Genomic DNA, 20,879 nt, shown 5'->3' with positions numbered 1-20,879 from the left:
AGCCACCTACCCTGGTCTTCCTCTGCCGGAGCCTGGAGCAGCTGGAATGGCCACTATTCAGTCACAGGGGATAGGGTTAAGTTTTCTTATCCCACACATGCACACAAAAAGGTAACTATTCTGTGAGGTAATAAACATGTTAATTGACTTCATTCATGCCACTCTGCACCCACAAGTAAGGCTTTCATAACAATGACACAGAAAATAAATGTTGCTAAGGAGGTGGAGAAGTTGGAGCCCTCATGAACTGGCTGCTAGGAATAGAAAATGATGCCCTTGCTGCAGAAAACAATTTGGTTGTTCCTCACAGAATGAGCATTGGGTGAAAAATGAAATCAAGATGGAAATGTAAAAAATTTCTTCGAACTGGATGACACAACCTATCAAGACCTCTGGGATACAGCATAGGCACTGCTAAGAGCAAACTTTGTAGTCCTAAAAACCTACGTCAAAAAGTCTGAAAGAGCACAAACAGACAATCTAAGTTCACATCTCAGGGAACTAGAGAAGCAGGAACAAGCCAAACCCAATCCCAGCAAACACAGGAAATAACCAAGATCAGAGCAGAACTAAATGAAATTGACACAACAACAAAAAATACAAAACATAAATAAAACAAAAAGTTGGTTATTTGAAAAGATAAATAAAATTGATAGACCATTAGCAAGATTAACCAAGAAAAGAAGAGAGAAAATCCAAATAACCTCACTAAGAAATGAAACAGGGGATATTACAACTGACACCACTGAAATAATAAAGATTATTCAAGGGTACTATGAACACCTTTTGGCACATAAACTACAAAACCTAGAAGAGTTGGATAAATTCCTGGAAAAATACAACTCTCCTAGCTTAAATCAGGAATAATTAGATACCCCAAGCAGACCAATAAAGCAAGCAGCAAGACTGAAATTTTAATTTTAAAATTACCAGCAAAAAAAAGCCGAGGGCCAGACAGATTCACAGCAGAATTCTACCAGACATTCAAAGAATGTCTTCTTTCATTCAAAGAAGAAATGATACCCAACTTTTCATACTATTCCACAAGACAGAGAAAGAAGAAACCCTCCCTTATTCATTCTATGAAGCCAGCATCACCCTAATACCAAAACCATGAAAGGACATAACCAAAAAAGAAAACTACAGACCAATATCCTTGATGAACGCAGATGCCAAAATCCTTAACAAAATACTATCTAACTGAATCCGACAACATATCAAAAAATAATCCACCATGATCAAGTGGGTTTCATACCAATGATATACGAGTGGTTTCACATATGCAAGTCAATAAATGTGATACACCAAATAAACAGAATTAAAAAAATCTAACATGATTATATCAACAGGTGCAGAAAAAACATTTGACAAAATCTAGCATTGCTTTATGATTAAAGCTCTCAGCAAAATAGGCAAACAAGGGACATAACTTAATGTAATAAAAGCCATCTATGACAAACCCACAGCCAACATAATACTGAATGGGGAAACAGTGAAAGCATTCCCTTTGAGAACTGGAACAAGACGAGGAGCCTACTCTCACCACTCCTCTTCAACATAGTACTGGAAGTCCTAGCCAGAGCAATCAGACAAAAGAAGGAAATAGAGGAAACCCAAATCGGTAAAGAGGAAGTCAAACTGTCACTTGTTGCTGATGATATGATCTTTTGCCTAGAAAACCCTATGGACTCCTCTAGAAAGCTCCTAGAACTGATAAAAGAATTCAGCAAAGTTTCCAGATACAAGATTAATGGACACAAATCAGTAGCTCTTCTATACATCAACAGCTACCAAGCAGAGAATCACATCAAGAACTCAACCCCTTTTACAATAGCTGCAAAAAACAACAACAACAAAAAAACAAAACTTAGGAATATACCTAGCAAAGGAATCAAAAGACCTCTACAATGAAAATTACAAAACACTACTGAAAGAAATCATAGATGGAGCCAAGAACGGTGGCACATGCGTATAATCTGAGCTACTCGGGAAGCTGAGGCACGAGAATCGCTTGAACCCGGGAGGCAGAAGTTGTAGTGAGCTGAGATCACACCATCGCACTCCCACTTCAGCCACAAGAGTGAAACTCCCTCTGGGGAAAAAAAAAAAAAAGAAAGAAAAGAAGTCATAGATGACAAAAACAAATGGAAACGCATCCCCATGCTCATGGATGGGTAGAACCAATACTGTGAAAATTACCATTATGTTAAAGGCAATCTACAAATTCAATGCAATCCCCATCTGAATGCCACCATCATTCTTCACAGAATTACAAAAACAATTCTAAAATTAATATGGAACCAAAAGAGAGCCATGTAGCCAAACCAAGCCTAAGCAAAAAGAACTTGGAGGTATCACACTACTTGATTTCAAACTGTACAATAAGGCCACAGTTACCAAAACACCAAAGTACTGGTTTAAAAATAGGAACATAGACCAATGAAACAGAAGAGAGAACCCAGAAATTAACCCAAATACTTACAGCCAACTGATCTTCGACAAAGTAAACAAAAACATAAAGTGGGGAAAGGACCCCCTTTACAATACATGATGTTGGGATAATTGGTGAGCCACATGTAGGGGAATAAAACTGGATTCTCATCTCTCATCTTATACAAAAATCTACTCAAGATGGATTAAGAACTTAAATCTAATTCCTGAACTATAAAAATTCTAGAAGGTAACAATCGATAAAACCTTCTAGACATTGACATACGCAAGGATTTCATGACCAAGAACCCAAATGTAAATACAATAAAAACAAAGATAAATAGCTGGGACTTAATTAAACTAAACAGCTTTTGCATGGCAAAGGGAACAGTCAGCAGAGTAAATAGACAACTCACAGAGTGGAACCCCTGAACCAGACCCTGACCCCTGACCCTGACCCCTAACCCCTGACCCCTAACCCCTGACCCTAACCCTAACCCCTAACCCTAACCCTTAACCCTTAACTGTAACCCCTAAGCCTAACCCCTAACCACAACTCTCACCCTCACACTAATCCAACCCTAACCCCTTATCCCTAACCCCTAACCTCTCTTAACCCCTAACTCTAAACATTGACTCTTAACTCCTAACTCTGACCCCAACCCCTATCTCCAACTCCTAACCCTAAACTTAACCCCTAACCCTTAACCCTAACACCAGCCTTAACCCTAGGTTCGTTACTACGTTTGTATTGACTATGTCAATGTTGATTATTATGATCTCTGTCTTAGGACTGCATGGCAGCAAGGGGATTGCGGATCTTATATTAATATTTTTGTATTGAGGCAGTGCATTAGCATTACAGGTGCTTGTTACATGAGCAATGGGGGTGTCATATTTTGGGTGTCATGTCTGCATTAGGAATGCTGCATTTGTCTTCTGAGGCTGCGGTGTGGATCTCGCACTGCGGCTGCCTCGCCTTGGCTGGGGAGAACCTCGGTGGGCAGGATTCAGAGGGGCTTTTGGTTTCCCGTTTTCCACACTGAACCCTTCTAACTGGTCGCCGACCCTGATTACTCAGGGCTGCAAACAGGAAGGATTTTATTCACCGTCTATGCGGCCCCGAGTTGTCCCAAAGCGAGTCAGTGCCCCCAAGGTCTGTGCTGAGGAGAACGCTACTCTGCCTTCGCGGCGTCCCCCGGGTCTATGCTGAGCAGAACGCAGCTCCGCCCTCACGGAGACCCCAGCCTGCCCAGGTCTGTGCTGAGGAGAACACTGCTCCGCCTTTGCTGTATCTCCGAAGTGTGTGCAGAGGAGAACTCAGCTCCGCCCTGGCGATGCTCTCCGTGTGGGTGCTGGGAAGAATGCAGCTCCGCCCTCGCAAAGGTGCACAGCGCCGGCGCAGGCGCAGGGGGGCCCACAGCGCCGGAGCAGGTGCAGAAAGTCAGAAGGTCCATGAGGGGAAGGTGAGACACCTGGGGCAAAGAAAAAAAAAAATGCGCCGCGAAGCGGTGTCTGAGTCATCCACCGACGAAAGTTTTTTCCCATCAGCCCTTGCGCTGGGCCCCAGGGACTCTGACATCCCTGGTTAGCGCCCAGGGTGCGCCTCGGGCGACTAGGGGTACCCCAACTCGGACAGAAGCCCCATGAGTGGAAGTTGAAGTTTGTGGGAGGAGAGGTGAGGCACCAGGGGCAGAAAAAAAAAAAAAAAAAAAAGAGGACCGCACCTCAGAGAAGTGGGGCCTGGGTCCACCACGGATGAAAGTGCCTCCCCATCAGGCCCTATGCTGGGCCTGGTGTACCCTGGCGACCCTGGTTCGAGCCCAGGGTGCGCCTCGGGACCGCTTGGGGTACCACAAAGCGAACAAAAGGTCCATGAGGGGAAGGTGAGGCACCTGAGGCAGAGAAAAAAAAATGCGCCACCAAGAAGCAGTGCCTGGGTCCCCCACGGATGAAAGTGCCATCCCATCAGCCCCTTCGCTGGGCCCTGGGGACGCTGGCATCCCTGGTTTGACCCCAGGGTCCACCTCGGGCCAGTAGGGGTACCCCAAGGTGGGCAGAAAGCCCCTAAGGGGATGGTGAGGCACCTGGGGCAGAGAAAAAAAAAACTTTGCTGCGGAGAAGCATGGCCTGGGCGCCCCACGGACAAAGTGTCTTCCCATCAGTCCCTGCACTGGGACCGAGGACCCTGGTGTCCCTGGTTCGAGCTCAGGGTGTGCCTCAGCCGCTAAGTGCACCCCAAGTGGGGCTTTGGGCGCACAAAGCCCATGAGGGGAAGGTGAGTTTTGAGGCAGGAGAGGTGAGGCACCTGTCACAGACAAAGAAAAAAAAACCCGCGCAGTGGAGAGCTGGGGCCTGGGTCCCCCACGGATGAAAGTGTCTTCCCATCAGCCCCTGCGCTGGGCACCGGGGAACCTGGGGTCCCTGGTTTGAGCTCAGGGAGAGCCTTGGGCCACTTGGGGTACCCCAAAGCGGTGGAAAGCCCATGAGAGGAAGGTGAGCTGTGAGGGAGGAGAGGTGAGGCACTTGTGGCAGAAAAGAAAAAGAAACCACGCCACGGAGAAGCGGGGCCTGGGTCTCCCATGGAAAAAAAGTGCCTTCCCATCCGTCCCTGCGCTGGGCCCCGTGGACCCAGGCGACCCTGGTTCTAGGCCTGGGTGCACCTCGGGCCCGCTAGGTGTACCCCAAAGCAGGCAGAAGGCCCATGAGGGGAAGGTGAGGTTTGAGGGAGGAGAGGTGATGCACCTGCGGCAGAAAAATAAAAACGTGCCGAGGAGAAGTGGGGCCTGGGTCTCCCACAGACGAAAGTGCCTTCTCATCAGCCCCTGCGCTGGGCCTCCTGGACCCTGGCGACCCTAGTTCAAGGACCAGAAGAGACTCCGGCACGCTAGGGTACCCTAAGGAAGCCAGAAAGCCCATGAGGGGAAGGTGAGATTTGAGGGAGGAGAGGTGAGTCACCTGTGGCAGAAAAAAAAAAAAAAAAAATATATATATATATATATATATCAGCGCCTTGGAGAAGCCGGGCCTGGGTCCCCACTGATGAAAGTGCCTTCCTATCAGCTCCTGCGCTAGCCCCGAGAACCTGGCGACCCTGGTTCGAGACCCAGGAGTGCCTCGGGCCCGCTCGTGTTACCCCAAAGCAGGCAGAAGGCCAATGAGGGGAAGGTGAGGCACCTGGGGTGGAGAAAAAAAACCGCAGCTTTGAGAAGCGGGGCCTGGGTACCCACGGATGAAGGTACCTTCCCATCAGCCCCTGCACTGGGCCCAGGCGACCCTGGCATCCATGGTTCGAGTCCAGGGAGCGCCTTTGGCTGCTAGGGGTACCCCAAGTCGGGCAGAAAGCCCATGATGGGAAGTTGACGTTTGAGGGAGGAGAGATGAGGAACCTGTGGCAGAAAAAAAAAAAAAAAAAACAAGCCGCGCCTAGGAGAAGCTGGGCCTGGGTCCCCCACGGATGAAAATGCCTTCCCATCAGTCCCTTCGCTGGGCCCTGTGGACACTGGAGACCCTGTTCGAGCCCCGGGTGCGCCTCGGGCCTGCTAGGGGTACCCCAAGGCGGGCAGAAATCCCTGAGGGGCAGTTGAGGTTTGAGGAAGGAGAGGTGATGCACCTGTGGCAGGAAAAAAAAAAAAAAAACTGCACCACGGAGAAGCGGAGCCTGGGTCCCCAACGGACGAAAGTGTCTTCCCATCAGCCCTTGCGCTGGGCCCAGGGGACCCTGGCGTAGCTGGTTCGAGACCAGGGTGTGCTTCAGGCCGCTAGGTGTACCCAAAAGCGGGCAGAAGGCCCATGAGGGGAAGGTGATGCACGTGGGGCAGAGAAAAAAACAAAAAACAACCGCGCCGCGGATAAGTGGGGCCTGGGTCCCCCACAGAAGAAGCTGTCTTCCCATCAGCGCTTGCACTGCGCCCTGGGGACCCTGGTATCCCTGGCTGGAGCCCAGCGTGCGCCTCGGCCTGCTAGGGGTACCCCAAGACAGAAGGCCCATGAGGGAAAGGTGAGACACCTGGGGCAGAGAAAAAAATAAAATACTGCGCCGCCCAGAAGTGGGGCCTGGGTCCCCCACGGACGAACGTCCCTACCCATCAGCCCTGCACTGGGCCCCGGAGACCCTAGCATCTCTGGCTCGAAAGCAGGGTGCGCCTCGGGCCCGCTAGGGGTACCTCAAGGCGGGCAGAAAGCCCATGACGGGAAAGTGAGGCACCTGGGGAAAAGAAAAAAAAAAAACGCCGCAGAGAAGCAGAGCCTGGGTCCCCGAGGAAGAACGTGTCTTCCCATCAACCACTGCGCTTGGCCTCGTGGAACCTGGCTTCCATTGTTCGATCCCAGGGTGCGCCTTGGGCCGCTAGGGTTACCCCAAAGCGTGCAGAAGGCACATGAGGGGAAGGTGAGGCACCTGGGGCAGAGAAAAAGAAAAAAAACCTCGCCACGGAGAAGCGGGGACTGGGTACCCCCCCCCCCCACGGACGAAAGTGTCTTCCCATCAGCCCTTGCGCTAGGCCCCAGGGACCCTGGAGTCCCTGGTTCGAGCCCACAGTGCACCTCGGGCTGCTAGGTGTACCCCAAGGCAGACAGAAGGGCCATGAGGGGAAGGTGAGGTTTGAGGGAGGAGAGGTGAGGCACCTGTGGCAGGAAGGAAAAAAAAAACCGAGCCACGGAGAAGCAGGGCATGGGCCCCCACAGACGAAAGTGCCTTCCCATCAGGCCCTGTGCTGAGCCCCGTGGACCCTGGCGACCTTGGCTCAAACCCAGGGTGTGCCTTGGGCCGCTAGGGGTACCCCAAGGCAGGTAGAAAGCCCATGAGGGGAGGTTGAGGTTTGAGGGAGGAGCGGTGAGGTACCTGTGGCAAGAAAAAAAAAAACCGCGCCGCTGAGAAGCGCGGCCTGGGTCCGCCACAGACGAAAGTGTCTTCCCATCAGCCCTTGCGCTGGGCGTCAGGGAACCTGATGACTCTGGTTCGAGCCCAGGGTGCGCCTCGCTCCACTAGGAGTACCCCAAAGCAGGCAGATGGCCCATGAGGGGAAGGTGAGGTACCTGGGGCAGCCGAAAGAAAAAGAATATGCGCCGCGGAGAAGCGGTGCCTGGGCTCCCATGGAAGAAAGTATCTTCCCATCAGCCCTTGCACTGGGCCCCAGGGACCCTGGCGTCCCTGGTTCGACCCCAGGGTTCGCCTCGGGCCGCTAGGGGTACCCCAAGGCAGGCAGAAGGCCCATGAGGCGAAGGTGAGGTTTGAGGGAGGAGAGGTGAGGCACCTGTGGCAGAAAAAAGAAAAAAAAAAAATGCGCCACGGAGAGGGGGGTCCTGGGACCCCCACAGACAAAAGCGCCTTACCATTAGCCCCTGCGCTTGGCCCCGTGGACCCTGGTGACCCTGGTTCGAACGCAGTGTGCGCCTCGGGCCGCTAGCAGTACCCCAAAGTGGGCAGAAGCCCATGAAGGGAAGGTGAGGCACCTGGAGCGGAGGAAAAAAAAAAAACCTCTCGACGGAGAAGGGAGGCCTGGGTTTCCCATGGAAGAAAGTGCCTTCCCATCAGATGCTGTGCTGGGCCCCAGGGACCCTGGCTTCCCTGGTTTGAGCCCAGGGTGCGCCTCGGACCTCTGGGGGTACCCCAAGGTGGACAGAAAGCCCATGAGGGGAAGGTGAGGCACCTGTGGCAGAAAAAAAAAAACGCGCCGCAGTGAAGCGGGGCCTGGGTCCCCCACTGACGAAAGTGCCTTCCCATCAGGCCTTGCGCTGGACCTCGTGGTGCGACCCTGGTTCGAGCGCAGGGTGCGAATAGGGCCCGCTAGGGGTACCCCAAAGCGGGCAAAAGGCCCATTAGAGGAAGGTGAGGCACCCGGGCAGAGAAAAAAAACCGCGCCACTGAGAAACGGGGCCTGGGTCTTCCACGAACGAAAGTGTCTTCCCATCAGCGCCTGTGCTGGGCCGCAGGGACCCTGGCGTCCCTGGTTCAGCCACAGGGTGTGCCTCGGGCCGCTAGCGGTACCTCTAGGCGGGCAGAGGGCTCATGAGGGGAAGGTGAGGTTTGAGGGAGGAGAGGTGAGGCACCTGCGGCAGAAAAAAAAAAAGCTCACCTCGGAGAAGTGGGCCCTGGGTTCCCCACGGACAAAAGTCCCTTCCCATCAGCACTGCGCTGGGCCCCGGGGACACTAGCATCCCTGGCTCGAAACCAGGGTGAGCCTCGGGCCCGCTAGGGGTACCCAAAGGCGGGCAGAAAGCCCATGAAGGGAAGGTGAGGCACCTGGGGAAGAGAAAAAAAAAAAAAAAAACAACCCTGCAGAGGAGCAGAGCTTGGGTCCCCCACAGACGAAAGTGTCTTCGCATAAGCCCCTGAGCTGGGCCTGTGGAACCTGGTGTCCCTGGTTAGAGCCCAGGGTGCGCCTCGGCCTGCTAGGGGTACCCCAAGGCGGGCAGAAGGCCCATGAGGGGAAGGTGAGACACCTGGAGCACAGAAAAAAATTAAAAACCGCTCCGCCTAGAAGCGGGGCCTGGGTACCCCACGGAAGAAAGTGCCTTCCGATGAGCCCCTGCGCTGGGCCCTGGGGACACTGGCGTCCCTGGTTTGAACCCAGGGTGCACCTCGGGACTGCTAGGGTATCCCAACGTAGGCAGAAGGCCCCTGAGGGGAAGGTAAGGCACCTGGGGCAGAGAAAAAAAACCGCGCCGCCGAGAAGCGGGCCCTGGGTCCCCCACAGACGAAAGTGTCTTCCCATCAGCCCCTGCACTGGGCCCCAGGGACCCTGGCATCCCTGGTTCGAGCCCAGGGTGCGCTCGGGTCGCTAGGGGTACTCCAACGCAGGCAGAAAGCCCAGGAGTGGAAGGTGAGGTTTGAGGGAGGAAAGGTGAGGCACCTGGGGCAGAGGAAAAAAAAAAAACCGAACCACGGAGTAGCGGGGCCTGGGTCCCCCACGGATGAAAGTGCCTTCCCATCAGCCCCTGCGCTGGGCCCCGTCGACCCTGGCGACCCTCGTTCGAGCCCAGGGTGCGCCTTGGGCTCACTAGGGTTACCCAAAAGCGGGCAGAAGGCCCATGAGGGGAAGGTGAGGCACCTGAGGCAGAAAAAAAAAAAAAACTGTGCCGCGGAGAAGCGGGGCCTGGTTCCCCCACGGACGAAAGTGTCTTCCCATCAGCCCCTGAGCTGGGCCCAGGGGACCCTGGCACCCCTGGTTCAAGACAAGGGTGCGCTTCGGGCCTCTTGGGGTACCCCATGGCGGGCAGAAAGCCTATGAGGGGAAGCTGAGGTTTGAGGGAGGAGAGGTAAGGCACCTGAGGCAGAAAAGAAAAAAATAAAACCGCGCCACAGAGAAGCAGGGCCTGGGTACCCCACGGACGAAAGTGCCTTCTCATCAGCCCCTGCACTGGGCCCCGGGGACCCTGGCATCCCTGGCTGGAATCCAGGGTGCGCCTCTGGCCTGCTAGGGGTAACCCATAGCAGACAGAAGGCCCATGAGGGGAAGGTGAGTCACCTGGGGCAAATAAAAAAAAAAACTGCGCTGCGGAGAAGCGGGGCCTGGGTCCCCCATGGGTGAAAGTGTCGTCCCATCAACCCTTGCGCTGGGCCCCGGGGACCCTGGCGACCCTTATTCGAGCCCAGCTTGTGCCTCGAGCCGCTAGGGGTACCCCAAAGCGGGCAGAAGGCCCATGAGGTGAAGGTGAGGCACCTGGGGCAGAGAAAAAAAAAAAAGCGCCTCAGAGAAGAGGGGCCTGGGTCCCCCACGGAAGAAAGTGTCTCCCCATCAGCCCTTGCGCTGCGCCCCGGGGACCCTGGCATCCCTGGTTCGAGCCCAGGGTATGCCTCGGGCCGCTAGGGGTACCCCAAGGTGGACAGAAGGCCCATGAGGGGAAGGTGAGGCACCTGGGGCAGAGAAAAAAAAAAATGCGCCGCCGAGAAGTGAGGACTGGGTCCCCCACGGACGAAAGTGTATTCCCATGAACCCTTGTGCTGAGCCCCAGGGACGCTGGCACCCCTGGTTCGAGTCCACTGTGTGCCTAGGGTGGCTAGGGGTACCCCAAGTCGGACAGAAGGCCCATGAGGGGAAGTGAGGTTTCAGGGAGTAGAGGTGAGGCACCTGTGGCAGGTGTCCATCTGTAAACTGTTTATCCATGTGAGCCCTGATGTTCACCAGGGGCTGGATGTCCCCCTGGGGCTAGATGTTCGCCTGGAGCCTGGTGTCTACCTGGGGCCTGATATCCATGAGAGGTTTAGTTATCCACCTACGGCCATCTGGAGCCAGATGCCCACCTGAGGTCTGGTGTACACCTAAGGCCTGATATCTACCTGGGGCTTGGGTGTTCATGTGGGACCTGATGTCTACCTAAGACCGTGTGTTCACCTGGAGCCTGAGTGACCATCTGGGTTATGATGTTCAGCTGGGTCCCAGAGTTCAGCTGAGGACTGGGTCAACCTTCTGCTTGTTGCACACCTGGGGACTAGGTACCCACCTGGGCTCTGGTGTTCACTGGGGCCTGATGTCTATCTGGGGCCTTGTATTTACCTAGGACCAATGCATCCACCTGAGGTCTGAGTGCTCTCATGGAGCCTGGAGTTTTCCTGGGGCCTGGGGTCTGCCTTAGGCTTAAGTGTACATCTGTGGCCTCATGTCCACCTTGGGATGGATGTCCACCTGGGGATGGATATTCAATAGGGGCCTGAGTGTCCACTTAGTTTGTGATGTCTACCTGGGGCCTGGTGTTCATCTGAGGTTTGATATCCACCTGGGGCCTGGACATTTGCCTGGAACCTGATGTACAGCTGGTGGCTGAAGTTCATCTATGCCTGGTGTCCCCCTGGGGCCAGGTAGTCAACACAGGGCCTGAAGACCTTCTAGAGTTCAGTGTTCACCTGTGGCCTGAAGTCCACCTAGGGCTTGGGTGTCCAAATAGGGCCTGGTGTCAGCTTGAGATTTGTGTATTTTCCTAGGGACTGGTTGTCCACTTGGGGCTTGATTTTTTACTTGGTTTTTGTGTTAATTTGGGGTCTAGTGTCCACCTGGGGCCTAGGTATCCACCTAGGGACTATTGTCCAGCTGGAGACTAATGACTACCTATGGCCTGGTAATCACCTAAGGCTTTGTTTCACTTAGGTACTTGGTGCCAAACTGTTGCCTGCTGTTCACCTGGGGTATGGTGTCCACCTGGGGTCTGGATGTCAGTCTGGAGCTTGTTGTATACATGTATCTTAGATATCCAGATAGGGGTTTATTTTCTGCTTAGGTGCAGCAGTCCATCTGGTGCTTGAGTGTCAACCTAAGGCCTGATGTCTATGTTGGACCTTGGGTTCACCCTGAGGCCTGATATCCACCTGGGGACTCAATGTCCAAATGGGGCCTGATGCCCATCTGGGCCCTTGTTGTCCACCTGCAGCATGGATGTCCACTGGTACTTTATGTCCACCAGGGGCCTAATGTCCACCTAAGTCCTGGTGTTCACCTGGGGTCTGATGTTCAGCTGAAGACCGGATGTCCACTTGGAGCCGAGGAATCCACCCAGGGACTGGTGTTGAACTGGGGCCTGATGACCACCCGGGGACAAGGTACACATCAGGCTTGATGTCCACCTGTCACCAGATGTCCACCTGAGTCCTGATGTCCATCTTGATCCTGGGTGTCCACTTTAGGCCTGATGTCCAGCTGGGGCATAGGTGCCCACTGGGGGCTTCCTGTTAACCTGGGGACTGGTGTCATTCTGGGGCCTAATGACCACATGGGTTGTGTTATTCACCTAGGGCCTGGTGTCCACTTGGGGCTTGAGTGTAACCCTGGACCTGGCACCCACACAGGACTTGGGTATCAAACTGGCCCCTTGGTGTCCAGTTAAGACATCATGTGAACCTGGCGCCTGAGTGTCCACATGGGGCCAAATGACTACTGGGGGCCTGAATGACAACCTAGAATCTGAGGTTTACTAGGGGCCTAGGTAACCACCTGGGGCCCAATGTCCACCTGAGCCTGGGTGTCAACCTGGGGCCTGGTGTAAACCTCTAGTTCAGTGTCCACCTTGGGCTTAATGTCAACCTGGAGCCTGATGTCCACCTGAGTACTGATGTTCACCTTTGACCTGATGTCCACCTGTGGACTGTTTATCCACCCATGGTCTGTTGTTCACCTGGGGCTGAATGTCCAGCTGTGACCTGTTGTGCACCTGGAACCTAGGCATCCACCTGCAGCCTGATGTTCAGCTGGGCTGGGACCCGGAGTTCACCTGAGGCATGATGTCCACCTGAAGGTTGATGTTCACCTGGGGGCTGGGTGTCCACGTGGGGCCCAATATCCACCTGGAGACTAGGTACCACCTGGGATATGGTGTTCACTCAAGATTGGTGTTCAGCTGTGGCCTAATGACCACCTGGGTCATGGTGTCTACCTTGGACTGGGTGCTTACCTGGAGCCAGTGTTCACTGGGGACCTAGTGTGCACCTGAGACCAGGGGATGTACCTGGAGCCTGGTGTCTACCTGGTGCCTAGGTATCCACTTGGGGCCTAATGTTCATCTGGAATCTGGTATCCACCTGGGGCCTTGTAATTACCTGGGGTGTGGGCATCCACCTAGGGCTTGAGTATCCTCCTGGGGCCTTGAGTTTTACTGGGGACTCATGTCTGCCTTGGACCTGGGTGTACATCTGTGGCCTAATGTACACCTTGAGAGTGATGTCAACCTGGGGACAGATGTCCTCTTGGGGTCTGAGTGTACACCTGGTGTCTGATGTCTGCCTGGGGACTTGTGTTCACCTGAGACCTGATGATATTCACCTGGGGACTGGGCGTCCATGAGGGGCTGATGTTCAGCTGGAGACTGGATATCCACCTGGGGCTTAAGGATCCACCCAGAAACTGATGTCAAACTGGGGCCTGATGCCTACCTGCGGACTAGGTATCCATGTGAGGCTTGATGTTCATCCGCAGCCAGACGTCCATCTGATGCTTGATGTCCACCTTAGTCCTGGGTGTCTACTGGAGACTTCATGTCCAACTAGAGCTTAGGAACCTACTGGGGGCCTCGTGTAAACCTGGGGACTGGTATGCAGCTGGGTCCCAATGATCCCCTGGGTCATATTATTCACCTAGGGCCTGGTGTCCACTTGGGGCTTGAATGACAACCTTAGGTCTTGTGTTCATATTTGACGTGGTGTCCACCTGGGACTTGGTTATCAACCTGAGGACTTGGTGTCCAATTGAGGTGTCATGACCACCTGGGGATTGAATGTCAATCTGGGGTCTGATGTAAGCCTCTAGTTCAGTATCCACCTGGGGCCAGATGTCTTCCTAGAGACTTATATTCTCTTTTGACCTGATGTCCACTTGGGGACTTGCTATCCATCTATGGTCTGATATTCACCTGGGGACAGATGTCCAACTGTGGCCAGAAGTGCACCTGGGGTCTGGGCTTCCACCTGGAGCCTGATGTTTAGCTGGGGCTAGAGTTTACATGGAGAACGATGTCCACCTGAAGTTTGATGTTTACCCGGGGCCTGATACCTGCCTGGTGCCCAAGTATTCTCATGTGCCTAATGTCCACTAGTTGGCCTGGTGTTCATCTGAGGGCTTGGAGTCAACCAGTGGCTTTATGTACAACTGGATTCTAGTGTCCTCCTGGGGACTTATGCTTACCAGGAGTCTGGTGTACCCCTGGGGTCTAGTATCCACCTGGAGTCTGGGTGTCCACCTGAGCCTAATGTTGAGCTTAGACTGAGTGTCAGCCTGAGGCCTGATGTCTACTTAGGGCATAGGTATTCAGCTGGGGACTAATGTCAACCTTGAGCCTAGGTATCCACCTGGGGAATAGTGTCCAGTTGCAGCCAGATGTCCACCTATGGCCTGAAGCATGGTTGTTATCCTAAGGTCTTGTATTAGTCCATTTTCACACTGTTATAAAAAACTACCTGATATTGGGCAACTTATGATGAAAAGAGGTTTAACTGACCCACAGTTCTTCAGGCTTAATAGGGAGCATGACTGGGTGGGCCCGGGACACTTACAATCATGATATAAAGCCAAGAGCAAGCAAGCCCTTTTTACCATGGGGGAGGAGGAGGGAGAGAGAAGGGGGATGTGCTACACACTTTCAAATAACCAGATCTCATAAGAAGTCTATCACGAGAACAGCAAGTGGGAAGACTGCCCCCATGATTCAATCACCTCTCACCACACCCCTTCTTCAACCCATGGGGATTACGATTCAACATGAGATTTGGGTGGAGACATAGAGCCAATATCAGGCCTGATGCCCGCCTGGAGTTGTGTCTACCTGAGTCCTAATGTAGACATGACACCTGGGCATCCACCTAGGACCTCATGTTAAGATAGGGGCTGGAGTTCTTTCGGTGTCCAGGGTATACCTGGGGCCCAGACGTATAACTAGAGCCTGATTTTCAGATGGAAACTTGCGCCCCAAGTGCTCATCAGATCCTAGGTGAAAATTCAGGTTTCAAGTGCACATCAGACTCCAAGTGGACACATGGGCCCCAGGTTGATACCAAGATTTCAGGTAGACTCTGGGTCCCAGAAAAACACCCCACCCTAAGTGGACAGCTGAACCTGAGTAGACATCAGGCCCCAGATCAACATCTGGCCCCAGGTAGATTCCTAGGCCCAAGGTGAATACTCAGTCTCCAGCCCTAGGGGAATTCAGTCTTAGATGACTAAGGACTGGTTTTCCTCTGGGGTCTCATGTCCACCTGGGCGCTGGGAGTGCACAAGGAGCCAGATGTCTATAAAGGGCCTGAGTGTCCACTAGGGCCTGAGGTTCACTAGGAGCATAGACATCCACCTAGGACCTCGTGTCCACCTGAAACCTGGTGTTCACCTGGGGCCTGGGTGACAACCTGGGATCTGATGTTCACCTGAGGCCCAGAGTTCAGCTGGTGCCTATGTCAGCCTGGCACCTGATGCACACGGGAGGACTAGGTGCCCACCTGAGGACTGGTGTTCATGGGGAACTGGTGTTCAGCTGTGGCTTGATGACCAACTAGGTCCTGGTGTCCTCCTGGCACCTGATGTCCACCTGGGACTGCAGGCTTACCCAGGGCCTGGTGTTCCCCTGGGTCCTGGTGTGCCCCTGAGACCTGGGGTCCACCTGGGCCTAGTATCCACTTAGGGCCTCATATCCATCTGGAACATCATGTCCACTTGGGGCCTTTTAGTTACCTAGGGACTGGGTGTCCTTCTGGCGCTTGAGTGTCCTCCTGGGGCCTGGGGTTCTCCTGGGGCCTGGGTGTACATCTCTGGCCTGATGTCCACCTTGGGATGGATGTCCATCTGGGAACAGATGTTCACTTGTGGCCTGAGTGTCCATCTTGTGTCTAATGTCTACCTGGGATCTGGTGTTTGCCTGAGGCCTTATATCCACCTGGGGCCTGGGCATCCATTTGAGGTCTGATGTCTACCTAAGACCCGGTGTTTAACTGGGGCACAGACTTCTTCCTGGAGCCCGACGTTCATATTTAGCCTGAAGTTCACCTACGCCTGTTGTCTACCTGTGGCCTATGTGTCAACCTAGGGCCTGATGACCACCCTGAGTTCAGTGTTCACCTGGGGCCTGACATCTGCCTGGAGTCTGGGTGCCCACATAGGGCCTGATATTGGCTTGGGACCAAAGTATTTACCTAGGGCCTGGGTGTCTACTTAGAGCCTGACTTCTACATGGTTCATTGTGTCAACCTGGGGCCTGATGTCCACTTAGGGCTTAAGTAAGCTCCTTATGACTAAAGTCCACACAGGGGCTGAAACCATCTCAGACCTTGTGTTAATCTAGGGCTTAGTGTCCACCTGAGGCCTGCCTGGGACCTGGAGACCTCCTGGGGTCAAGCTATCCACCTTGGGCCTGATGACCAATTGGGGCTTAAGGATCTACTTAGAGACTGGTGTCAACCTGCAACCTGATGTCCACTTGGAGTCTGGTGTACACCTTGGGCCTGATGCCCACCTTGGCACAGGTGTACACTTTGGGCCTAGTGTGCACTGAAGCCTGGGTGTCAACCTGGGTCTTGATGCACACCTTTAGTCAAGTGTTTAACTGGGGCCTGATGAAATACTGGAGCCCGATTTACACTTGTGTACTGAGTCTCCACCTGGGGCCTGAAGTCTTCCTGCAGCCAGATATCCACCTGGCACCAGATGTCTACAAGGAATCTGGGTGTCCACCTTGAAAATGATGTATTCCAAGAGACTAGGCATGCACGTTGGGCCTGGGGTCCACCTGGGGCCTGATGTCCTCCTGCAGGCAGATATCCACCTGGCACCAGATGTCTACAAGGAATCTGGGTGTCCACCTTGAAAATGATGTATTCCAAGAGACTAGGCATGCACATTGGGCCTGGGGTCCACCTGGGTCCTGATGTCTACCTGAGGCTGGTATTGAACTGGGGCCTGTGTGTTCACTTGGAGCCTGATATCCATTTGGAAACTGGTGTTCACCTAGAACATGGGTATCCACCTGGATCCTGATTTTCAGGTGGGGAGTGGATATAGACCTGGGACCTGATGGCCACCTATGCTATAAGTAACCCAACCACCTGGGGCCTGGTGTTCACCTGCGGCCTGATATCCACCTGGCACCTGTGTGTCAATCTAGTGCCTGGTGTCCACTTGAGGACTAGGTAGACACCTGGGGCTTTGTGTTCACCAGGGGCCTGGTGTTCATCTTGCACCCAGTGTCCACCTGGACCCTGTGTATCAACCTGTGGCCTAGGTGGCCACTGTAGCTTTATGTGCACCTGGGGCCTGAGAGTTTCCTAGGATCTGATGACCACTGGGGCCCAGGTATCCACCTGGGACATCAGGCTCCAAGTGTATATCCAGGCTCCATGTGGACACCAGGCCAGGAGAACGCCAGCCCTTATCTGAATATCAGGTCCTAGATGGATGCCCAGGCCCCATGTGTACATCAGGCCCCGGGTATACACTGGACTCCAGGTGGACATCACACTCAATTGGATACACACACTCAAGGTGGACACCAGGCCCCACGTGAATTCATACACTCCAGGTGAACATCAGGTCCCAAGTGGATACCTGGACACCAGGTGTATACCAGTCTCTAAATTAATACCAGGCCTCAGAAGGTCCTTAGGAGCCATGTGGGCATTAGTCATCAAGAAGTTACCTAGGCCCAAAGTGCACATCAGGCCACCTGTTGACACAAGATCTATTTGGAAGTCAGGCCCCAGGTGGACACCCAGGCCCTAGGTAAATACTTAGGTCCCAGGTTGACAGCAGGCCCTATGTTAACACTCAGAACTCAGGTGGACATCAGGCCTCAGGTGGACATCTGAGTTTATCTGGAACCTCGTGTTACAGGCCCCATGTAAACAACAGGCCTTAGGTGGATACCCAATCTCTAAGTGGACATCAGAGCTCAGATTGACACAAAGACTCCAGTAGACATAATGTACCAATGAATATCCAGGCCTCCGGTAAATACCCAGGCCCCAGATTGACATCGGGGTCTATGTGGACACACAGGCCCCAGGTAGTAAACAGGCCCAAGGTGGACACTGGACTGGACATCAGGTCCTAGGTTGACAACCATGCTTCAAGTTGACACCAGGCCCCAAGTGAACATCTGGTCCCAGCTGGACACTAGTCTCCTGGTGAATACCTGGGCTCAAGGTTGACATCAGACCCCATGTGAACACTAGACCCCAGCTAAACACTTATGCCCTAAGTGGACATCAGGCCTCAGGTGGTTACCCAGTCCCAAGGTGAACATAAGACCCTGATGGGCACCAGTTATCAAGTGGATTCCCAGGCCCCAGGTGAATATCAAGTCCTAGGTGGATACCAGGCCCCAAGTGGATACCAGGATCCTGGTAGACATCAGGTCCCAAGAGGACACTAGAACCCAGGAGTACATTAGACTCAGCACTCAGATGAACATTAGGCTTCAGGTGGACATCGTGCCTCAGTTGAACTCCAGGCCCCAGATGAACATCAGGCCCCAGGTGGATGCCCAGGATCCGGGTGCACATCTGGCCACAGTTGGACATTCAACCCCAGGTGACCATCAGGCCATGGGTGAATACACGGTTTCCAGGTAGATTTCAGATCAAAGGTGAACATCAGTCCCCCAGTGGACATCAGGCCCAAGATGGGCACTGAACTAGAGGTTTACATCAGGCCACATGTTGACACCTAGTCCCAGGTGGACATCAGGCCCCAGCTGGATACCTAGGCTTCCAGTGAATTTCAGAACCCAGGTTGACATTCAGGTCCCCAGTGGTCATCTGGCCTCATGCGAACACTCAGACCCCAGGTGCAAATGATGTCTCAACTGGATACCAAACCCCTAGTTTGATACACAAGGCCCAGGTGGACACCAGGTCTAAGGCTGACACTCAAGCCCTAAGTGAATACCAAACTCTAGGTGAATAATTCAACCCAGGTGGTCATTAGGACGTAGCTGGATACCAGTCCCCAGGTTAACACAAAGCCCCCGGTGGGCACCTAGGCACCAGCTGGACATCAGGCCCTATGTAAACACCCAGGTCTCAGGTGAACACCATGCCCCAGGTGGACATCAGGCCCTAGGTGGACACGGGGCCACAGGTGGACATCTAGCCGCTGGGCAACATCCAGCCCCAGGCGGACATAACCGTTTCCATGGATAAACCATTCCCAGGTGGATAGCAGGCCTCAAGAGGATGGCAGTCACCAGGTAGACATCAGGCCTCAGATAGACACCAAGTTCCCAGATGTACAGCAGGCCCCAACCGAACCCCAGACTCATGTGGACATCAGGGCACAGGTAGACACCAAGACTTAGGTAGACACCTAACTTCAAGTAGACATCAGACCCAAGGTGGACACCCAGTCCCCAGGTGGACAATCAGGCCCCAGGCCCACATCAGGCCTTAAGTGGACACCCAGGCCCCAGGTTGATATCCAGCTCCCAGGTGATCACCAAGCCCCAGGTAGACACCAGGCCGTAGGTGAGCAACAGGATGCAGTAGATCATCAGGCCACAGCTGGATACCAGTCCCCGGTGAACACAAGGCCCCAGTGGGACACAGAACTAAGGCAGACATCAGGCCCCAGGTGGACATACAGGCCTGAGGTGGAATTCACCCTGAGGGGGACATTCAGCCCCAGGTACGCATCAGTCCTCAGGTGAATAACCAATCCCCAGCTGGACATTAGCCCACAGGTCAACCACAGTACCCAGGTTGATGCCTGGTCCCCCGGTGGCTACCCAATCTGCAGGGTAACATTAGGCCCCTGTAGGTTCCGAGGCCCCAAGTGGATTCCTAGGCCCCTGGTGAACATCAGGTGCAGGTGTCCAAGCAGGCCCTGGGTGGACATAACTGTGTACAGGTAAGGAGTTGACCTGTGGGGAAGGTGAGCAGTCAGCAGCCCACTGGGGTCCTGAGTAGGTCTTCTGGAAGGAGGAGGCCAAGGGGACAGAGCCTTAAAGAAGTGACCTCACTTCCTTGGCAACAGACCCTAACAGAACTTAGAATTCTGGTAACCAGGCCAGACACGGTGGCTCACACCTGTAATCCCAGCACTTTGGGAGGCTGAGGCAGGAGGATCATGAAATCAGGAGATCGAGACCAGCCTGACCAACATGGTAAAACCACGTGTCTACTAAAAATACAAAAAACAAACAAGGTCAGGAGATCGAGACAATACTGGCTAACACAGTGAAACCCCATTTTTACTAAAAATACAAAAATTAGCCAGGCATAGTGGCAGGTGCCTGTAGTCCCAGCTACTCTGTAGGCTGAGGCAGAAGAATGGCATGAACCCAGGACACGGAGCTTGAAGTGAGCCAAGATCGCGCCACTGCACTCCATCCAGCCTGGGAGACAGAGCGAGACTGTCTCAAAAAACAAAAACAAAAACAAAAAAACAACTAGCCAGGTGTGGTGGTGGTGGTGCATATCTTGTGCCTGTAATCCCAGCTACTCAGGAGACTGAGGCAGGAGAATTGATTGAACCCGGTAGGCGGATGTTGCAGTGAGCTGAGATCATGAAACTGCACTCCAGCCTGGCCAACAGAATGAGACTATGTCTCAAAAAAAAAAAAAAAAAAAAAGAATCCTGATAACCAGGCACCCACATCCTAGAGTTAGCCCCATAGACAGCTCACTTGGTGGGAGATGCTCAAGAGAGCAAGATGTTCTTGTGCTGCATCCCCACATCTCAAGGCTCCTGCTTCAGGAATGGCAGGAGTGAGAATCTTTCTTTTCTGACAATGCCCTTGTAGGCTCATCCCTCACCCCAGATGCCTCTGGCCATTTAGCAGAAGGTGCCCCCAGGTACCACAGGACAGGAGTCACCAGGTAGACATCAGGCCCCAGATGGAGCTACCAGGCCAGGCCTCACCAGTGATCCCACCAGGGTCACATCTGCACATTGTCCTTGTCCAGCTGGAGCCTCTGGAGCTCATTGAGACACAGACACATGCTGAGGTCACCTGCAGTCTGGAAGTCTTTCCAGGGACAATGTTTT

At 53.5% G+C, this 20,879-nt stretch overlaps 1 pseudogene; it reads left to right on the top strand.

The window, feature by feature from the left end:
* LOC100419952 (uncharacterized) lies at positions 11,542-12,061 on the top strand (annotated as a pseudogene).

This window comes from Homo sapiens, chromosome Y (assembly GCF_000001405.40).
Source record: "Homo sapiens chromosome Y, GRCh38.p14 Primary Assembly".
Lineage (NCBI taxonomy): Eukaryota > Metazoa > Chordata > Mammalia > Primates > Hominidae > Homo > Homo sapiens.
Note: the sequence above shows the minus strand (reverse complement) of the source record. Positions and strands in the feature narration are given on the sequence as shown.